The sequence below is a fragment of the Homo sapiens genome, chromosome 11 (assembly GCF_000001405.40).
Source record: "Homo sapiens chromosome 11, GRCh38.p14 Primary Assembly".
Classification (NCBI taxonomy): domain Eukaryota; kingdom Metazoa; phylum Chordata; class Mammalia; order Primates; family Hominidae; genus Homo; species Homo sapiens.
In genome coordinates this window covers 103,459,717-103,481,431 of record NC_000011.10, presented here as the reverse complement: position 1 = coordinate 103,481,431, position 21,715 = coordinate 103,459,717, and the positions used below count along the sequence as shown (strand labels likewise).

The window sequence follows — 21,715 nt, the reverse complement described above, 5'->3', positions numbered from 1 at the left end:
TTTTGGTTATATATTAAAAACATGTACTGTGTAGGTAACAAATACAGGTTAGTGGGTGTCTCTTTGGAGGAAGAAATGTAAGTTCTGCTGAAGGGAATGTGAAGGACTCTGATTTTGAAACAATTTTTAAAATTTGATATTTAAAAAAAAATCTAAAGCAAACACCGTAACATCTAATATTTGTTCATTTGAGGAAGGCAATTAATTTATTCTTTGTAAAATATTTTCAAAGTAAGTTTTTTTAAAAAGAGAAAAAGAAGCCTACTGTTACTAATAATTTTTGATTAGTTACTCCTTCCCCTGGAATCCCACGGCCCTTTGCTACCGTGCCACGTAACTCTTATTTCATTGTGCTATGATTTGTCTCTATGTGGGCATTTTTAATGTATTGTTTCCCAAATTTAACCAAAAAAGCTGGTGGTATAGCAATATTAATATCAGATTAAAACATTTACAGTGTGGAGACTGTTTTTACATATTTCACTGTCCGATCAGCTTTTAAATCTCTGAAGAGCAGGGACTGTATTATCTATCTTCATATTTCTGGAATCTGGCCAGTATCTGGCTTATTTTGCTGAATATTAATGCAAAAATTCATAAACATGAGGTTTGCATCATATTAAAGACCTATGCTGCTTTATTAAGTAATTTTATGTCATTGTACTGAATACATTTCTGTAATGAATTAAAATTTTTCACTGGATGGGGATGTGGTAGAAAGAGCTAGCTAGCCCTCCATCCTCTTCTGTTTTTGAGCACCCAGCTGACTACATTTCCCAGCCACCCTAGACATTATGTATACCCATGTAATTAAGTTCTCTCTAATGGAATGTAAACATAATGATGCGTGACATTTCCAGACACGGCCCACAAAAACGTTCCATGTGTATTCGTCCATGCTTTTCCCTTCCTAGCTGATCTTGTAATGTCAACAGCAAGCCCTATAAACATATTTTTAAAAGAATATATTTAAATATATACATTTAAATATATTCCTTTAAAGTACATATTTAAATATATTTTTCTAAAAATGTTTTCCATTTTATCTTGTTTCTCCTCTAAATATATAACTTTTCATTGATATGACTTTTTAAATAACTATCAAAAATATAAGCCTCAGCTCTTAGAATTTGTTTGCTGCAAGAATAGAGCTGCAAAAAACTTCATAGGATACTAAAATGTCTGTCACTCAACTGAACAGTATTTTTGGTTCCTTAGATTTTGGTGAATCTTGCAGAGCTAAAGTAATAGCTCTTATAAAAAATACAGGCCAGGTGTGGTGGTTCACGCTTATAATCTTAGCACTCTGGGAGGCTAAGGCAGGTGGATCACTTGAGTGCAGGAGTTTGAGACCAGCCTGGGAAACATGGCGAAACCCCATCTCTACAAAAAAAATAAAGAAATTAGCCAGGCAGTGTGGTGTATCCTGTAGTCCCAGCTACGAGGAGGCTGAGATAGGAGGATAGATTGAGTCTATGAGGTTGAGGCTGCAGTGAGCCGTGATTGCATCACGGCACTCTATCCTGGGCAACAGAGTGAGACCCTGTCTCAAAAAACAACAACAAAAACACAAAAAAGCTGAATGTTTAATAACCAGAATTTATCCTCCATTATTATGTCACCTGAATTATTCCTATTTGAATTACCTTAAGATATTAGTTATAAGTATATAATTATGACAATAATTATATATTTGTATATTATAATTAGCATAGTATAATTATATTCATGTTGATACTTTTATACATTCATTATAACTTTATAATACATTCTTCAGTATGTAAAAAGAGTCATGGGAAGACTGCAAAAATTATGAATGCTCTTTTATTAAATAATTATGACACAAATGACAGCCAAAATATTTATTATTGGTTAATATACCACTTAAAATCTCTGACCTAAAACAAATTTTTGAGCCACTGGAAAAGTGAACTTTCTCACAGAAATATTTAATGTTGTCAAAAGAATACTCTGTTTTAACAATAACTCCATTAATTTATTACTTTAAAAGATGCACAGTGCTGCTTTTACACATTAAAATTTCAGTGACATCAACAACATAACTATATGTTAATATTTTGAACTAACATTTCAAATGTAGACTGACCACATGTTTGATTTAAAGCTTAAAGAATCAATGTTCCCTTTTGTGAAGATGGCTTTTGTTGTCATTAGATTCTACTGATTTTTTAGGAATAGAGCTGCTCCACACTGAATCCACTGGTCTTGGTTGCCCCCACATGGAACATCAATATTGGTAACCACACGATCCCTTTCAGCACTTGTGTAAACAGGCAAAGAGATGCACTCATCCGGAGAATATGGACCACATGCATCCTGTTTAAAAAATAACTTGTTTTAAAATAAAGCAATACACTATTTGGAAACAGATTATTAGATAACCAAGGAAACAAACATATTAATATTATATTATGAAATGTTTCAAATTAATATGATGAACCCCTATCATCCCCCTGCAACAAAATGAAACACATGGCCTATCGTGTTTTATTTACAACCTCTCCCTAGCCCCAAACATTGGAGTATTTTGAACAGCACCTTACAATTACAAAATTTCACCTATAAATATTTACATATATATCTCTATAAATAAAATAGAACCATGTATTATCACACAGTAGAAAACTACCAATAATTCCTTAATATCATCACACATCCATTATCTCATCTCCTGTTTTAAAGAGTTTTTCTGTTAGAATCATAATTTAAATGAAGCCTATGCTTTGCAGTTTGTTGAAATGTCTCTTAAGTCTCCTAAATCTGTAAGCTTTTCCTCCTCTTTTCCTAGCAATTTGTTTGCAGAAGAAACTATACCAAATAGTTTCCCATATTCTTTTTTGGGTTACGTTCCCATGGTATCACGTTGCTCTGTCTGTTCCTTGTATTCCTATAAACTGGATCTAGAGGTGAGCTCAGACTCAATGTTTGGAAAATACCGCATAGGTGGTACTAGATGTTTCCATCAAGCAGCATATGTCTGGTTGTCTCTCTTTTTTGGCTATTAGAGGCCACTGATAATCACTTTTCATTCAAGGTTACACAAGGGGTAATCTATCATTCCTTATTCCAAGCAGGAATATATCTATAAAGAGAAACTTCCACTTATCAATTTTTTTATTACCATGAGGTGCAGTTCATATAAGAAAAACTAGATAAATGCCTATTTCCCTTTATGTGTTTTCAAAACAGTGAATGTTTCCTAGCACACTCCAAAGGTGATCAATGACCACCCCTTCTTTTTAAAAAATGGTATTATGAACTGGTGGGTTTAAACATATATGATGTGCTTTAATGCAATGCAATCGCTACTGCATTGGTGTTCAAATTGTCAGTCTTCGCTCAGGGGAACTTTTTAAGTTGGCTCCTGAGTTTTGATACGTCCCCAGTTGTCTCTTCAGTAGTTTCACTGCCTTTCTAGTATGACAGGTATTATTATACAAGTTCATCTTTTATATTTCCTGCCCTGGAAATTAGTCATTAATCTGATGATTCCTAGTTTCTTTCAAGAGAAATGGTATTAGAGACCATAATTTGGGTGCTAGGAATAATTGATCTTTTTTTTTTTTTTTTTTTTTTTTGAGATGGGGAGTCTTGCTCTGTCGCCCCGGCTGGAGTGCAGTGGCGTAATTTCGGCTCACTGCAAGCTCCACCTCCCGGGTTCATTCCACTCTCCTGCCTCAGCCTCCCAAGTAGCTGGGACTACAGGCACCTGCCACCACGCCTGGGCACTTTTTTGTATTTTTAGTAGAGACAGGGTTTCACTGTGTTAGCCAGGATGGTCTCCATCTCCTGACCTCGTGATACGTGTGCCTCGGCCTCCCAAAGTGCTGGGATTACAGGCGTGAGCCACTGCATCCGGCCAATTGATAATTTTAATTCTAGGATGTTTTAGTGACTGGAGCTTAGAAATCATGTATTTTTAAAAGAAAAACATCATGAGTTCATAATTGTATTTCCAATTCAAATATAGGATTAGCATTTTTACTGAATTTATATGATTTTATTCAATTAATTATTACTTTGCAGAGTTGGAATGGAACTTAAGAGGCAAGCTAGACCCATTTTAAAATATTACAAAAGTGACACTTCAGAAGCCCACAGAGAATTTACCCATGGTAGCCTAGTTAGGAAGTGGCAAAGTTGTCACAGATACTACAGTTGACAAAACACTCTAGTATATGAATGTTAGCAACTAATGTCTCTTATTCTGTTACTTTGCAAAATAGAACACAATAACATTTATGGAAATAAATTATTTTCAGGCTCTGGAGTACTTGTCTAGGAGCTCCTGACCCTGTAGAGGTTACTCTCCGAACATCAGTTTCACTATTATAGAAAGACAAATGACACTTACCCACCTCACAGGATGTGGAAAGAATCAGATGTCATATTAAAGAGCTCCAGATATAAGTATTATTTATCCACATGTCTCTGATTCTTTGGACTGCCTTTTCCTTATTCCCTGCTAATTCTCAAATCGACTAGAAAAAATCAGCTTTTTGGCAGCTACTACATCTCTTAAATGGTGTTATGATAGCAGTAAAATAATTTTCTTTCACAGAAAATTAAGACATTCTACTTTTAAGCCTAAGTGGGCATTATATGAACTTTACATTATCTTTTCCAATCCTGCTCCTCTCTCTGTCTCTCTCCCTCCGCCGCCCACACACATACCCACACACCAACAACTGCTCTGACTCTTCTGGCCCTTGATATAAATCAGTATGTCCCCCAAAAAATTATTCATTCCTAACATTCTTAAAACTTAACCTGATTTACATATAACAAGACATATTCTCTAGGTAAAATGATTCCCAAATAGATAAAAACACCATCTGTCCTAAATTTTTCTAATTATCTGTTTGCACTGATGAGCTTGTCAGTTATTCAGCTATTCATTTAACAGCACTTTATATGCTAATATTGTGCCTAGAATTGTAAAGGCTAAGCATTTCAGTACATAGAGAAATAGAGAAAATAATCTCCTTTGAATTTTTACTTTAGGAAACAAAATACACACATATCAAATATCTAGAATATAAGTTTTGGGAAAATATATACTTCAGAAAATCAAAATAAAGAAAATGCTACTCTGGGATATGTTAACCTAACAGTGATTCATGGAGAGAGTAAATCCTTAGTTGAACTTCAGAAAAAAAAATGTGGGATTTGGGATAAAGAGAATTTTCAACTTTTATCAGTCACTGACTAATCTCTTCCCTCTTGTTCAATTCTGCTTAGATGGCAAAGCTTTAGGAATAAAAACCTGTAATTGTCATGACTCCTTAGCCGATCTTAAAAGGTAAAGCCTAGTGCAAGCATTCCTTTACATTCTTTGGCAAAGAGCAGACAAAGATCACATATTTGTTAGACTGAAGTGATCTGAATCTATGATTGCCTATTTTTAATCCTGGGAAAGGTCTTAAATTATCTTTTTCCAACACCTGATATTTGCTTTGTTTTCCATTACTTCTATGATCAAAACTGAAATAGAAACACCACAATGAAATGTTTTACGATGTTATTCCTTTCTAGTCAGGAGATTTTCTCTATATCGATGTAAAGACTATTTCTCTTTAAATTAGGAACTTAATAATGCTGATTATTATCAACTTAAAGCTGATTTTTTGCATATTCACTAACAGTTTACTAGTTTTTGTATATATTTCCAAATTCTTCCAAATCTTTTAGTTGTAGGCTTTGTTTGTCTTACAGCCAGGGTACAAATCTTTCTTTCAAAACCTACAGTGTTTTAAAGCAAAGCAATACAGTGGCTTCTTGATATTTTGTCACTTCTCAAAATCTCTTCAGTGGTAAATGTTACTTCTGTAAAAAAGTTAAATACACTTGCTCTTAAGTCTCCAATAAATAAATGCTCACAGTAGAAGCAGGGACAAGTATTTTTGGCATTCTCACTATTATATTAGCACAATGTTTTGTGTATATAGAAGTTCTTTGAATACTCCTTAACTGAATTAAATTATTATGACCCAATTCCCTCTTTAATATCTTTAACAGGCAAAACATAAGACACTGTTGGGCTGAAGTATTTGGATGAAACTAAAATTTTATTAATAACTATGAACAAACACCCTGTGTTCAATTAATGCAGAAAAGGAGATATATTAGGAAGACTTCAAATAATTCACATTATATTTCCTCCAAAGTTTTGTGCAATTACAGTAATTCAAAATCTATAAATTGTGATTGATTACTCTAAAATGGTTGATGTGTTCATAAACCATATCTTTATTAAAACAAACTGGTCCAGTTCTGTTCAATAATGAGGCTAAAATTTGAAATTTTACACTCATTTGAATCAATTAGCTTTTCATAAATAAAAATTGTTTTATGTGAATAAACATCTTGCATAATTTTTCTGCTTTCCTAAAGTGTCCAAGAAAAGCCTGAATGTCTCACAACAAAATTTGCCCATGCCTTGGGCAAAATGACTTAAAAACATACATTCTACAAATAGCAAGCAATACACTACTATTTGAAAGAAGACAATGCAATTTTCAAAGGCAAAATGGTGACTCAGTAGTCCCCTCTTATTCATGGGGAATACATTCCAAGGCCCCAATGGATGCCTGAGACTGCGGATGGTGCCAAACCCTATATATACTATGTTTCTTCCTAAACATACATATCTAGGATAAGGTTTAATTTATACATTAGGTATAGTAAGATATTAACATAAATAATAATAAAATAGAATAATTGTAACAATACCACAATAATAAAGTTATGCAAATATGGTCTCTCTCTCTCAAAATACCTATTGTACTATATTCATTTATTTGCTGACTGTGGGTAACTGAAATTGCAGATACAGAGGGACTACCATATTAGATATCACTTAGTTTGCAAACCAAAGAAAGCAAGGAAAAGCAAAACCAAACAATGAAAACAAAATTATTACGTTACTCATATTAGCTATTTGGCCAATTTCAATTAAATTTCATAACAAAACACATATGAAGACAAAACAAAATATATTCATCAGTCTATGCACAGTCCAACTTATTTTAACACATGCTTTCTGAATGTTTATAATCAAGTCAATGAACAGTTCTTTTTTAGAAGAGGAAATGATAGGAAATCGGAGTTCTAATGTATGTACAAGTAGCACAATTCAGTGATGCAATTCTGGGGGAAAAAAATCTCAAAATAGGAAACAAAACAGCTTGCCACCAATGAATACTCTGACTTTGTTCTGTTAAGAATGTCTAGCTAGGTTTCAAAATGTATATTGGTAAAGATATACTTCCCTGATTTTTCAACAATATAGTGATAACATCATTACTTTCATAATAAGTCCTTGAAGAAAAAAAATAACATACAAAATATGTTAGTGAAATATTTGGTATTTTTAAACCAGAGTGTATAGAAGGCAGAACTTTCAACACATATCTTCTGATATATGTGATATTTTAACATCTATACAAAATATAAAGTAATGATTGTTTTCCTGAGTAGCTTGTGTAAATATTTTATAGTTCTATTTTCTCTGAGAATAAATTTTTTTCTGAAGCTGAATTGTCAATTGTGCCTATCAGAAGATCCAGCCTCATGGGTTCAGGCTGGCTCAGGACTACTGTGTTACTGTGGGGCTGATAAACTCTCAGGAGCATTATTTCCAGGAAGATAGAGCAAAGGCAAACTGACTTCCTGTGGAATGCCAGAAGGGCATCACTGAGACTGGTCTTCATCATAAAGCAGTGTTGACCAAATCATACTATGTGGAATATTAGATCCTGATGGAGCATAGGGTGTAGGGGCATGAGAAGGTTGTGTGGTAAGTAATCTTTGGGACTTCTCAGAGATGTTAATATAAGACTTTCCAAGGGAGGGAATATTGTGTTTATTAAGTTTGTTTACTGAATCATTTTTCATAGAGAATTATTATGATATATAGAAACATGTTAAGAAATGCACTGGAAAAAGCTAATGCTTTCTGGGTAAAATCCTCTAGCTATATCTTAATTTGAACCAATATTAATTTAACCAAAAATACTGCACCGAACTGGAACTGGAGTAACTTTAAGAATCTGTATCATGGAGCCACTGCACTCCAGCCTGGGAGACAGAGTGAGACTCCATCTCAAAAAAAAAAAAAAAAAATCTGTTTCATGAATGAATAAATAGTGTGAATGTCAGTTATATTATCTTAGTACATAGATAATGGTAAACAGAAATACTAGAAAAATATTTCATCAGCATTTTATTTATTTTCATTTTTCCTTGAATTCATCATTCCAATCTTGTTAATTCACAAAGTACACTGCATTTCAAATAGAGGCAATGATAGAGCTTCCTCTTCATGCCCCAATAGAAGTCTTAGAATTTGTTGATGATACCCTTTTTTAAGTATCACCACATACTGAAACAATGTTGAAGTTCTTCAATCTTTTGCAACCTAAAATGTTCTCTGAAAAATGGAGCTGCAGCCTAACTCAAAGCAATGTTGTGCAAATGACTGGGTTAGTGGGCAAGTTTCTGTTGAAACGAAGCTCCTCAGGGATACTGGGTGTCAGATAATATTGTGAAAATAATTTGTGAAATAACCTCCTTCTGGTGTAAAAAAAAAGTTTAGTTACCAAAGTTCTGAATTTTATTATTATCATATAATAATACATAATCTTTTAAACCTCCATTTTCTACTTTAAAATGGAGATTACAATTCCTATTTCAAAATTTTTTTTAAAGCTTAATATCTTGTATTTGAAACACCTTGCATAGTGCTTGGTATGTAATCAGTGCAAATAAATGTTCACTATGATTGTCTGGACACTAATGCTACCAATGTGGAACTCATAAGTCATTTAACTTACCTGATTCTCAGTCCTTTCATCAGAAAAATAGAAAATTTGCTGTACCAAACTCATAGGATTGTTATGAGACGCCAGTATAATTGTATCTCACAGTGTGCCAATCTATTATCCAACCACTCACTGCTAGACCGATTTTCTAAAACTACAAATCTGATCTTACCATACTCCTGTTCTCAATTCTTTAAAAAAAATTTTTTTAATTCTTTTTTTATTTAATAAAGATGGGGTCTTGCTATGTTGCCCAAGCCAGGCTCTAACTCCTGGGCTCAAGTGATTCTCCTGCCTTGGCCTCCCAAAGTGATGGGATTACAGGTGTGAGCCACCGTGCCTGGCCCTGTTCTAAATTCTTGATGGCTTCCTACTGATCATAAGGTGGTCTAAACTCTGGCATGGCTACTCAGCTTCTCATACTTGGTCTTGGCCTTCCTTTCTGGCCGCATCCCCCACCATTCTTCCATATGAACTATACCCTCCAGATGTACAATACTTGCTGTTCCCAGAATATCCTAAGCTCTTTTCTATCTGCATATATTTACATATGCTGCTACTTCTGTCTGGAATGCCTTGTTACCCTATCTTTTTTGAATTTGTCCTTAAACTGTTATTACTAAAGTTCAAGTAACAGTTCAAGAGAAGCTGCCACCTCTCTCAGCGAGGTCATCTGACTTTCCCTCATTGTTCACACATGGTAGAGTTGAAGCCTCCCTCATCTATCAAAGCACTTTATATAAACCTCTCTAATTGCACTAATGATTCCGAACTGTAGCACTCTCTTTGCTTATTTGCTTCCCCAGTTGGCGGAAGACTCTGCAGGAGAAATCTGTTTATCTTCGTAACCCCAGGGTTCAGCATAACATCTGGTATATAAAAACTCAACAATAACTTAATAATGAGTGAAAGTACTGGTAAACTAAAAAGTACCATATGAAATAAGATAAAACATTATAGCATTATAAAAGTTTAAATTATTGACAACAGGATAAATTTGACTTACCATGTATGAAGCACTGTGCTAGGTACTTTACACACACACAAACATATTTAATCCTCAACATGATCCTACAGAAACATTATTATGTCCATTTTCAAATGAGGAAACTGGCTCAGTGAAGTTAGGTACCTTATCTAAATCACCTAATTCATAAGCTTGGAAACTTGGATTACAATTTAGGTCTGCTGAACTAGAGAATTTTGTGTTCTGAAACACTTAGCAGTAGATCTCATGTTCTTTCCTTCTTAGCTGATATGGGACAGACATTCTGAAAGTAGTATGATTACAGGACAAGGAGGAGGCTCACTGTAAAGAAAGAAGGGGAAAAAGGAGGTGGGGAAGCACTAACAAATTCTTCCATTACATGTCATGTACAAGTGTAAAAGCCCAGGAGAAAATCTTACAGAAAAATATCATCACTGGCCATCAGAGAAATGCAAATCAAAACCACAATGAGATACCATCTCACACCAGTTAGAATGGCGATCATTAAAAAGTCAGGAAACAACAGGTGCTGGAGAGGATGTGGAGAAATAGGAATGCTTTTACACTGTTGGTGGGACTGTAAACTAGTTCAACCATTGTGGAAGTCAGTGTGGCGATTCCTCAGGGATCTAGAACTAGAAATACCATTTGACCCAGCCATCCCATTACTGGGTATATACCCAAAGGATTATAAATCATGCTGCTATAAAGACACATGCACACGTATGTTTATAGCGGCACTATTGACAATAGCAAAGACTTGGAATCAACCTAAATGTCCAACAACGATAGACTGGATTAAGAAAATGTGGCACATATACACCATGGAATGCTATGCAGCCATAAAAAATGATGAGTTCATGTCCTTTGTAGGGTCATGGATGAAGCTGGAAACCATCATTCTCAGCAAACTATCGCAAGGACATAAAACCAAACACCACATGTTCTCACTCATAGGTGGGAATTGAACAATGAGAACACATGGACACAGGAAGGGGAACATCACACTCTAGGGACTGTTGTGGGGTGGTGGGAGGGATAGCATTAGGAGATATACCTAATGCTAAATGACGAGTTAATGAGTGCAGCACACCAACATGGCACATGTATACATACGTAACAAACCTGCACGTTGTGCACATGTACCCTAAAACTTAAAGAATAATAATAAAAAGAAAAAGAGTAAAAAGTTCATATTACCTTTTAGTCATCTCTTCTATAGGATAAATGCTCTATTCATTTTACCTCTCTTTATATGAGCTATTTTTCAAATTAAATTAGCTTTTTATTCCAATCCTGACTTTTTAGAAGTATGACAAATAAAACTGGATAGAAATAATACACAAAGTAAAATATTGCCAAGCTATCAATTCCTAGTCTTGTAAAGTCACATTGCTTTTCATACAACCCAGTAACAGATTGGCTTTGTCCATGACAGCACTGCATTCCTGATTTGCGTTCAGTACGTGGGTATGGCTCCAGGTCATTGTCTCCTATATTTATTCTTAGTTGCTCTTCAAGCTCTATTTTTATTGTTTGGGTTTTTCCTCAAGTGAACCTGTTTATACTTGCCCTACTTTTTTTTTTCCTCCTCATGATCATTATATGGATTTTATTTTCCAGAGAATTAGCAGTTTATATAATTTAAATTCGTTGGAATTTATCTCTGCCATCCTAAACAATTTTGTATGTTATATTCACAACACTTGACAAATTCCAACCTTAACTTTTGTATATAAGTTTCAATTTGATTTACACAGCTAAGACAAAAATGTGTCATTCATAATTTACCAAATTTTTGTAGAAAATTCTTATAGGAATTAACAGCAAGATTGAAGTAAACATTGATTCTTTCAGTCTCTTCTCTCTCCTTTATCTTATAGTCACTCTAATTTTGGAGAAAATGAAGCTGATATGGGGGAAAAATAGGGAATTTTGACAGAAACATATGCTCTTTTAGGTCAGAGGATACTCTTATAGCTGTCTTGGCAATGTTGCTAACTGCTATCGCTTTTTAAGATTTTCCTTAAATAAATACTCTGGTGCATTTGATTTTTATTTTATAAGGAGAATGACAATAACTGGAAAATTCAATGCATTATTTCCCAATGAGAAAGCTCATTTTTCTTGTAGTGAGCAATATATGAAATAGTTTTGTTGCTCATTAGATACACAATCAGAACTTTAAAGTTTATTCACATGTAGTCATATGTGCATTCTTAAACTTTATTAAGAAAAAGTTATGTGCTTCTTTACAACTATGTCCTATTTGAAAGACATGTATACCCCAAGTTCTACTGTTGAAAGTTTTTTCAATAATGGTTTTGAAAGGAAAAAAGTTAACTAAATAAGTCTTTAAGATTGTTTTCTTCATCCACCTATCAGCTGCATAATGACATTGTGTGATACAAAGCCATACATCTATTAACACCTTAATTCTATCACTTTCTGTGTAGCTAACTACGAGAAGTCATTTAACCTGCGTGAGCACGTTTCCTCATTTGAAAGTGGGAATAATAATATCTGCCTTGCATGGCTGCTCTGAGGAGGATTTTAGGTAAAGCATATAAAGTACCTAGCACACATTGCTGAAAATAAGAGGAATGCAACACATGGTAGTTCTTATTATCATTAAAGGCTTTTTTATTACCAGGCTATAAACTCTCCAGAAATTAATACTATGTTATTCTTTCTATAACAAAATCAAGGTTTTCAAATGTCTTGTGCATCTTAAACATGATAAAGGATAAAGTACTTTTGACTGCAAATTTGTTCAAATGCAGGTGAGATTAGAAAGCAAACAAAAATACACAGGCCAAGAATGTCTTCTTGAAAAGATAAAATCTAAGAGAGAACTGATATAATTAAAACTTGTGCTTGTTAAAAATGTATTACCTGTGGAATCCAGCCCATAAAACAAGGGAGCACTGATGACACGCTGGGAGAATCAAGCTGATTTTCAGAAAGTTGATTTCCATCAAAACTACATCCTTCTAGTAACAAGCCACTGATCTGCCATGGAAACAAATATGTCATGAAAATATGCATTAAAGTCGCAAATGTCAGAGGTTACTCTATTCTACCTTAAGAGCTATGCTTTCCATTGTGTTCACCGATTCCAAATATATGAAAACAAAGATTATGGTACTTTGAGAATAAAGTCAGTAAGGCCTGGACTAGTGTTCACTGTCAACTTCTTTGAGACTGATTTCTCATTTTTAGCAAATATATTTTTGAAATTACATATAAATCTCATCTGTTATACAACTGCGGGTGTCTTGACATTAGTGTAATAGAATTACAGTGGCAAAAGCCAAAAAGTTATTCTTTCTCCATGAGGGAAGGGAGAAAAGCATAATTAGAGAGCAAACATTGTATTCCCAACCTGGAATTCTGACACCTTTTAAGGAATAGAATAAAGTTCAGAAAGTGTAATGAAAAAAACGACATGTGATATGAATATGAAAGAAGAATTAAAGAGAAGAAAGAATTCATGTCTTTAAGGTAACCTTGGTGTAGATATAAGAAATCCTGAAAATGAAAACACGGTTCTTTTGGTATTATTATCTTCATATTTCTTCTTTGAAACTCTTCATTCTTTTAGTTTCTGCAGTTAATCTAGCCTGACTATCCTAAAGGTAACAAATGTAGAGTCAGTATTTGGCATTTATAGCTCTTCTGGCACTTTGCCCTAAGAGCCACATCTATATTATCATAATTTGAACTTGGTACAAAATATAAACAAACTTAAAGTGTACAGTGCCGGCTGGGCGCGGTGGCTCACACCTGTAATCCCAGCACTTTGGGAGGCTGAGGCGGGCGGATCACAAGGTCAGGAGATGGAGACCATCCTGGCTAACATGGTGAAACCCCATCTGTACTAAAAATGCAAAAAATTAGCTGGGCGTGGTGGCGGGCACCTGTAGTCCCAGCTACTCTGGAGGCGGAGGCAGGAGAATGGAGTGAATCCGGGAAGCGGAGCTTGCAGTGAGCCGAGATCGCGCCACCACACTCCAGCCTGGGCGACAGAGTGAGACTCCGCCTCAAAACAAAACAAAACAAAACAAAACAAAACAAAACAAAACAAAACAGTGCCTTCAAATTTTAACATACTAAATGAAAGAACTATAGAATTCAGAATGAAGGGAACACTAAATTGGAAGAGTGAAGATAATTTTCAGCAACATACAGTCAGGGAATGGTTTAGGTGCTAGGAGAGAATCCCTTAACCAATTGTTTTGAATGATTTCATTACTTGAATTTTACAGTAAGGTTGCTGTTGCAAGGAAAAGATAAGTAACTTTGTTGTTAGTAAAAGAGCTGGGATGATAATATAATTATTTAATACTTAAATATTCTTTCTACTATATGACTAATGGGATATACAGGTCACTTGAAGAGTTTTGAAAATATTCTGGCCTGAATTTAGTTTTATCTGTATCTATAAACAATAAATAGTATTGTTTTTCATGTTTCCAATCTCTATATAAAGGGTAACATGCAACCTACTCTTTTCCTTCATTATTGGTTTTAAGGTGCATCCATTTTGTTCTTTCATTTCCAACAGCTGCACATTTCATTTTGTTAATATACAACAATTTATCCATTTTTCTGCTGGTGAATATTTCCAACTGTTTACCATTATTAAAAAAACACCTCAATAACCATGCTGTGTACTTCCTTATACACATTTGCATGAATTTCTCTAGGTAGGTTGAAGGTGTGGTCAATCTCAATTTTACCTAATATTGACAAATTATTCCCCAAAGTAACTCTATCAATCTATACTCTTACTTGTCATATATAAGAATTTACATTATGCTACAATCTTGCCAATACTTGGTCTGTTGAGACTTAAAAATTCTGTCAATCTGATGAGCATGAAATGGAATCAAATTTTGGTCTTAATTTCATTTCCTAGTTACTAGTAAGAACAAGTACTTTTCCTTATGTTTATTAGCCATTCAGGTTTCCTCTTCATCTAAGTTGCCTATTAAAATCTTTTGCCCACCTCCACCTTTTCCTTACTATGGACATTTTCTTTAAAAGATTGATCTATAAACATCCTTTATCTGTTTTAAGTACTAATCCTTTGTCAGTTATACAAGATACTAGTATCTTTTCCTAGTCTGTGGCCTGTGTTTTCACTTTCTATGGTATCTTTAATTTCAGGGTAGCAAATTTATCAGCTTTTTCCTTTAAGACTTTTACTTCTTTTGTGTCTAAAGAAATCCTGAGTAGATATTTTCCTGTGTTTTGTTTCTAAAAGTCTTCTCTTTCAGTTTTATTTCTGTAACTTTTTAAACCTTCAGAGTCAATTTTTATTTGTAATATAAAGTATGGATCAAATTTTATCATTTTCTAAATGAGTGAGCAATTGTTTCAGAATTATTTATCAAATAGTCCTTCCAAGCCCCTAATTTGTAACCAACTCCACTTTTGTCATGTGTCAAGTTTCCATACTGGCATAAGTTTGTTTCTGGACTGTTTTTTTTGTGTTACATTAGTCTGTCGTTCCCTAAACCAGCACCATACTGTCTCAACTGCCATTGCTTAATAATGATAACAATAATAATAGTGTGACACAGTGAAAAATATGGTCAAACATTCCTCTCCTCCTAATATGCACCCCTTTGCCAAGTAAGCTTGGCTGCTGCTTCCTTCAGGACGTGGAGTTTCTTTTCTACCCCTTGAACTTGGGCTGGTCTTTTAAATTGCTTTGACCAATAGAATGTGGTAGGACTTTAAGCAACTTCTGAAGCTAGGCTTTAAAAGGCTCTGCCTTCTAGAAATGCTGCACTGAAACCACCATATAAGGAAGCTCTCCTAGTCTACTACAGTATGAGAGGGCATGTGAAGGACTGAGGTACCTCAGTATGAGGTACCTACAGTATGAGAGGGCATGTGAAGGACTGAGCTAGCACCAGTTGCCATATATATGAATGAGGCCAGCATGGACCTTCCCTTCTAACTGATCTAGCCGAATGCAGATGCAGAGTGGGTCTGAGTAAATCAGCAAAGGATCTACTAGGCAACCCACAGAATTGTGAGAAAATAATAAATTGGTATTCTAAGCCACTAAGTTTTGAGCTAGTTTGAGCAAATGCTAACTCAAACTCATGTGCCACAGATTAAAAAAAAAAACAAAACACACTTTGGGATACTGGTTGAAATTGCATTAAATTTTAAAATTTGATTTTGGAAAGTCTGACATTTTTTAAGTATTTACTCTTGTGATATGTAAACAGGACATTTTCACCATTAAGTTCTTCTTTCTTGTATTTTTCCACTTCTCAAATTATCTGCGTGATCACGACTGAAATGTATATCTTTAAGTAACATTTAACTGGATTTTATTTTTTCCCCAGTCTGATAATCTCTCTTAATTGGTAGGATTAATATGTTTACAATAGTCATATATTTGGTATTATTCCCATTTTATATTTTTTTCTCTTTACCTTTTTTTGCTTTTTCTCCTTTTCTGCTATGGATTGTATATCCATTTTAGTGTTTTACCATCTACTTTTAAATGCGTAATTAAGTGTAAAACTTTCTAATAAATTCTTAAAGTATTCAGTACTGAACATAGTATGAATTTTAACACATTATATCTAATTGAATTATTGCTGTTTAGATTTTCAGCTTAAGCATAACATATTTTACAGTCAATATTTAAGCTACTTAAATTTAAGTTAAATTACACACTAAAATTATTTTGTTAATTTGGGGTTCACTGTTGTTTTAGGTGTTCATTACTTTCTCTCTGGCTTTACTTTTTGCAGAAGTACATGTTTCAATATTGCTTTCATTGAGGCTGTATGTGAGTGGTGAATTCTTGTGGTCTTTGGGTTCCTAAAGTCTCTTATTGCTTTCATTATTGAATTATTTTAGATGGCAATAAAGTTTAACAATTATTTTTCTTCATCAATTTGAATATATTATTTTACTGTCTTCTGACATCTAGTGTTGTGAATGAGAAGTCCGCTGTCAACATGGTGATTACTTTGGAAGAAAATCTGATGTTTTATCTGGTAACTTTGAAGATTTTCCTCTTTAATTTACTTTTGTTTATTATTTTTGGTACTTTGCAGATGCTTTTCATCCAAGAACTCATCATTCTCCAATTCTGGAAAATTCCTGAATTAGTTTTTCAAATTTCTCTTCTCTGTCATTCTCTCTGTTTTATACTTCTAGAAATCCTTTTAGAAATAGGTTGGAGTATCTGAAACTATTGTTTTTGTCTCATAACATAACCAATTTATCATGTCTTCTTCAATCATATCTAATGTATAGTTTGTCTATCAATTTTTTCATTTAAAGACTACATTTTTCATTTCTGACATTACTTTCAACTATAACTGTATTATCTTTCCCTGTTTCTCTCCAGAAGTTCTTGTTATTTTGTACTGCAAGTTATTCCTTCATGTATCTGTTCAAGGAAACTAAAATAGTTAACTTTTTTGTCAGATTTTTCTATAAAATTAACAACTAATTGACTAGCTGTTTCATCTGAATGATTTTGTTAGTTTTCCTTTTTGGATTAGATTTTTTTTCCCATTTACTTTGGATTTTGGATTCTAGGTTCATCTTGAGCAGTATTTTCCCTCCATAGACCTCTGTACTGTCCCTTCCATATCTACATACATACGATATTTATAATGCCAGTTTGGGGGTTCTGTTCTGGCAATGTTGGGATACTGCAGATCTCGTGGATAGGTAGTGAGATTCAGCATCTAAGGAGTCAGGCTATTTCTTTGTCTTTCAGCTTTCTTAAGCCTACAGATTTCTATAATGCCATAAACTCAATCAGTGATTCTGCAACAGCTTTATTTTGTTTGTTTGGTTATTTGCGGCAGGGTCTCACTCCCATTGCCCAGGCTGGAATACAGTGGCATGATCATGACTCACTGCAGCCTTGATCTCCTGGACTCAGGTGATTCTCCCACCTCAGCCTCTTGAGTAGCTGGGATGACAGGCATGCACCACCAGGCCTGGCTAATTTTTTGTATTTGTAGTAGAAACAGGGTTCTTCCATGTTGCTCAGGCTGGTCTTAAACACCTGGGCTCAAGCGATCTGCTTGCCTCAGCCTCCCAAAGTGCTGGGATTACAGGCATGAGCCACTGCTCCAGGCCTGCAACAGCTTTATTCAGTCTCTTTTTATTGGGGAGATGGAGAGCCTAACCTCAGAACTGGATTCGACCAGCAACAAGCCTGGTTATAGTCCTATGTAACATTTAGCACTACTAATTCCTTTTACTTTAAAAAAGCCATGCTTCATTGCTTCCTAATTCTGGACTTATAGCTCAATCTATCTGTATTTCCGGCCCTACTTATAATTTTATTTTCTGTCCTGTTTCTGACACAATGTAATACTTATCTTGTATTTCAAGCCAGCTAAGGTTTGTGATTTCCTTTTTTTATATTTTACCAATCATTAGTATATATTTAGATAAGAGTGGATGAATCACAATCTCCCTGGGCCATCTTCAGCGGTTCTCAGTTGTTTACAATATATTGAAAGAAAAATAAGGTTTGTACTATATGTGTTAGGTCCATTTAACTGCAAACATAATTTTTGAGAACGAATCACCATAAAATATTATACTGATCTGCATGATTGTTTCATAGGTTTATTCACTTACTGAAAATTCATAAAGCTGTACTCTGAAATTTGTACATTTTTGTGTATGACGCTACACTTCACTATTAAGGTTTACCCCCTCCTCATAAAAGCAAAAAGAAAGATATACAGGTCAACATTAAGAGGCGTCACATATATGCCAAAGACCAGAGACAACTGCACATGAAAAATAAAATAAATGCAATTTACTGAAACATTAGATATACAAGAAGCTCACAATGATACTTAAAGAGAAAATGTCACTGGACACTGCTGGAAACTATCAACAGCATCTTTTGAATATTCCCAGTTTAAATGAAAAAATTAGGTATTCTTTATTTTCAACAAAAAATGTATTTCATAATATCCAGGTAACTAAATAGACCTAATTGAAGCCTCTTTGCAGAAGAATTTTAGCTAATAAATGTGGAAGGAATAACAAAATTAGAAAAATCAGTGTGCAACCGTAGTTATCCAAGCAATGATCTATTAGATGAAATACTGATGAGAAACTTTACATGAGGAATGAGGCTGTCACTGCCTGTACACATGAATCAATGTTAGCATGACTAAAAACAAGAAAACAACACGTGTGTGCCTTATGATACAATGTAAAATGAAGAACACAGTGCCACTTATGAAGTATTTTTGTTGCCCCTCCACACAAAAAAAAATCAATGTAATTAGATCTTTGGAATTAATTTATATTTATAAGGAATGAGAGACAGAGGAACAAAAGTTTACTAACATAAGGAAGCAAGCAGATGAATACAGAATGTACATCATTCTATAGGAGAAATGACCCCACTCCTGTAACAGTGGTAATAAATGAAAGGTGGAACCTGATTTAGATATAAAAAGACTTAAGGCACATCACCAAATGCCATGTTAGCATCTCATTTCATTATTTTGACACTGATTCAAACAAACCACTGGAAAGAGTTCTTTTGAAGACTGGTCAATATTGTTTTGGACTGAATATTAAATGATTCCAAGGAATTTTAATTTTGATATTTGTGATAATACATTATATTTAAGAAAAAAAATATTTTTAAAGAAACACATTCAGAACCATAGAGGGGTAAAATAAAATGATGTCTGAAATGTGTTTTAGCAAGAAAAAAGAGAAAAAGGTGGAATGTTTCTAAATCTTAAAACCTTGAAATATGCAGACTCATTTTACTACTCTCTCTTCTGTATTTGTTTAAAATGTTTAATAATAGAAAGTATTAAACATTATTAAAAAAAAAAAACCTTGAAGACCAAAGGATGTTTACATTTTCTAGGGAATTGACCGTTCCATGCAGAGCTACAATATAGTACCCGTATGTGCTCAGCAGCCATATGTGGTTACTGTATATACTATACCGCATATGGCTACTGAGCACTCGAAGTGTTGCTAGGGCAATCCTCTCTCAGCCTTGGAGGAAGATGTAAAATGTAGGCTGAACAGGAGCTTGATTTATGTATTTTGCAATATCAAGTTTTCAAGTACTATTTAACACATAATAGATCAATAATGGCAGGAATTTTAGAGGGCCATGTTCAGGAACTGAAAATCAATACATAAATATGTTCTCTCAAGTAGGTCTAAAGGGTTTAAGATATTGATCGGTTTGGAGAACTACAGCCTCACTGTTTAATTCAGTCTATGGTGATAGAGATTTTAAAAAAAACTAATAAAATTATAGTGATAGTAAAATTCAAGTATAATTCAAATCCAAATTTCTCCTATTGAAACAATCCCCTCTGCTGAAAAACATAATTAAAAGGAGCCTAAATGGACAAATGAACTTACTAATTTTGCCAAGTGCTAACAGTGAAAGCCTTACAAAGACTTCTTCCCTGGTAACATTATTGGAAACTGCAGGCGAGAAAGTTAGAAAATGTGCTTTTATAGCTCACATGAATGGACCAGAGAGAGGAAAAGTTCTGTCGAGTTATCTTAAATCTCATATGTAGAGATGGCTTTTAAAATTAAAGTTGTAAGTATATGTGGAAATACATTACTAACAAAAATGACAATTATTTTCTAGTCATTATACCATGCTTATTTATGTTACTAAATATTTACAAGTGAATATTTTAATTCTTAACAATAAAATATCTTTTAATGAATCCCAAATGAAAAATAAAAGAATTTTGCTCACTGGATATACAGAACTTTATATGAAAACATACTTGGTTTTCTAACTAAGAAACAAATATTTCCTACTATATAAATCTTAATCATATATGTAATCTGAATATATATGAAAATATATATTCATTGTATATATAAAAATATACATTCATTATATATATACAGATTATACATATATTTTCAGAGATCCTCATAATAAACATGTCAATGAAGTTATTATTGAAGTCTACTCATAACTGTGACAGCCAAGGCTCAGACTGCCCCATTAATTGCTTAAAAATGTCACATAGCTCTTTTTCAGATACTAATATTATAATCTTATTTTACTGTCAGTGCAGCCCACCCCCCACCCCACCCACTGCCCCAATGTACAAAACAATTATATAAGCTTGGGATTTTCTGGTTGTGCACGACTTTATTCCCATTTTGAAAGAACGGTCAATATACTTTGGGAAATATGAACACATTTTGACACAATAAAACTGGTTTCCCTTGCTTATTATACTCCTAAATTAAAAAATGATGCTATAATTACATGCATGGTTCACAGCTGCCAGAGACTAAATATACATGTTTTGTGTTCCCTCACTCTCCTGACAATTGGATAGCAGTGTATGACCCACCAGTAATAGCCAAGGTACTTCTCATGAGCTAGGGGCTAAGGTTAAAATAAAATGTCAAGAAGCTGGGTGTGGTGGTATGTGCCTGTAATCCCAGCTACTCAAGAAGCTGAGGCAGGAGGATTGCTTGAGCCCAGGAGTTCAAATTCACCCTGGGCCACATAGCAAAACCCCATCTCAACAAAACAAAACGACAAAATTAAATGAAAGAAAACTTTTCTAAGTCCTTCAGCTTTTTTTTTTTTTTCTTTTTTTTTTGAGACGGAGTCTCGCTCTGTCGCCCAGGCCGGACTGCGGACTGCAGTGGCGCAATCTCGGCTCACTGCAAGCTCCGCTTCCCGGGTTCACGCCATTCTCCTGCCTCAGCCTCCCGAGTAGCTGGGACTACAGGCGCCCGCCACCGCGCCCGGCTAATTTTTTGTATTTTTAGTAGAGACGGGGTTTCACCTTGTTAGCCAGGATGGTCTCGATCTCCTGACCTCATGATCCACCCGCCTCGG

At 34.3% G+C, this 21,715-nt stretch overlaps 1 protein-coding gene across 5 annotated transcripts in view; it reads right to left on the bottom strand.

The window, feature by feature from the left end:
- Positions 1,569-21,715, bottom strand: part of DYNC2H1 (dynein cytoplasmic 2 heavy chain 1) — a 370,438-nt gene continuing 350,291 nt past the window's right edge. For all 5 annotated transcript variants that reach the window (NM_001080463.2, NM_001377.3, XM_017018291.2 and 2 more), the window contains 2 exons: positions 12,727-12,843; positions 1,569-2,337 (listed from right to left, as the gene is read on the bottom strand). In NM_001080463.2, coding sequence (NP_001073932.1) covers positions 2,179-2,337; positions 12,727-12,843 — 276 coding nt within the window. In that variant the 3' untranslated portion in view covers positions 1,569-2,178. The remainder of the gene's footprint in view (positions 2,338-12,726; positions 12,844-21,715) is intronic.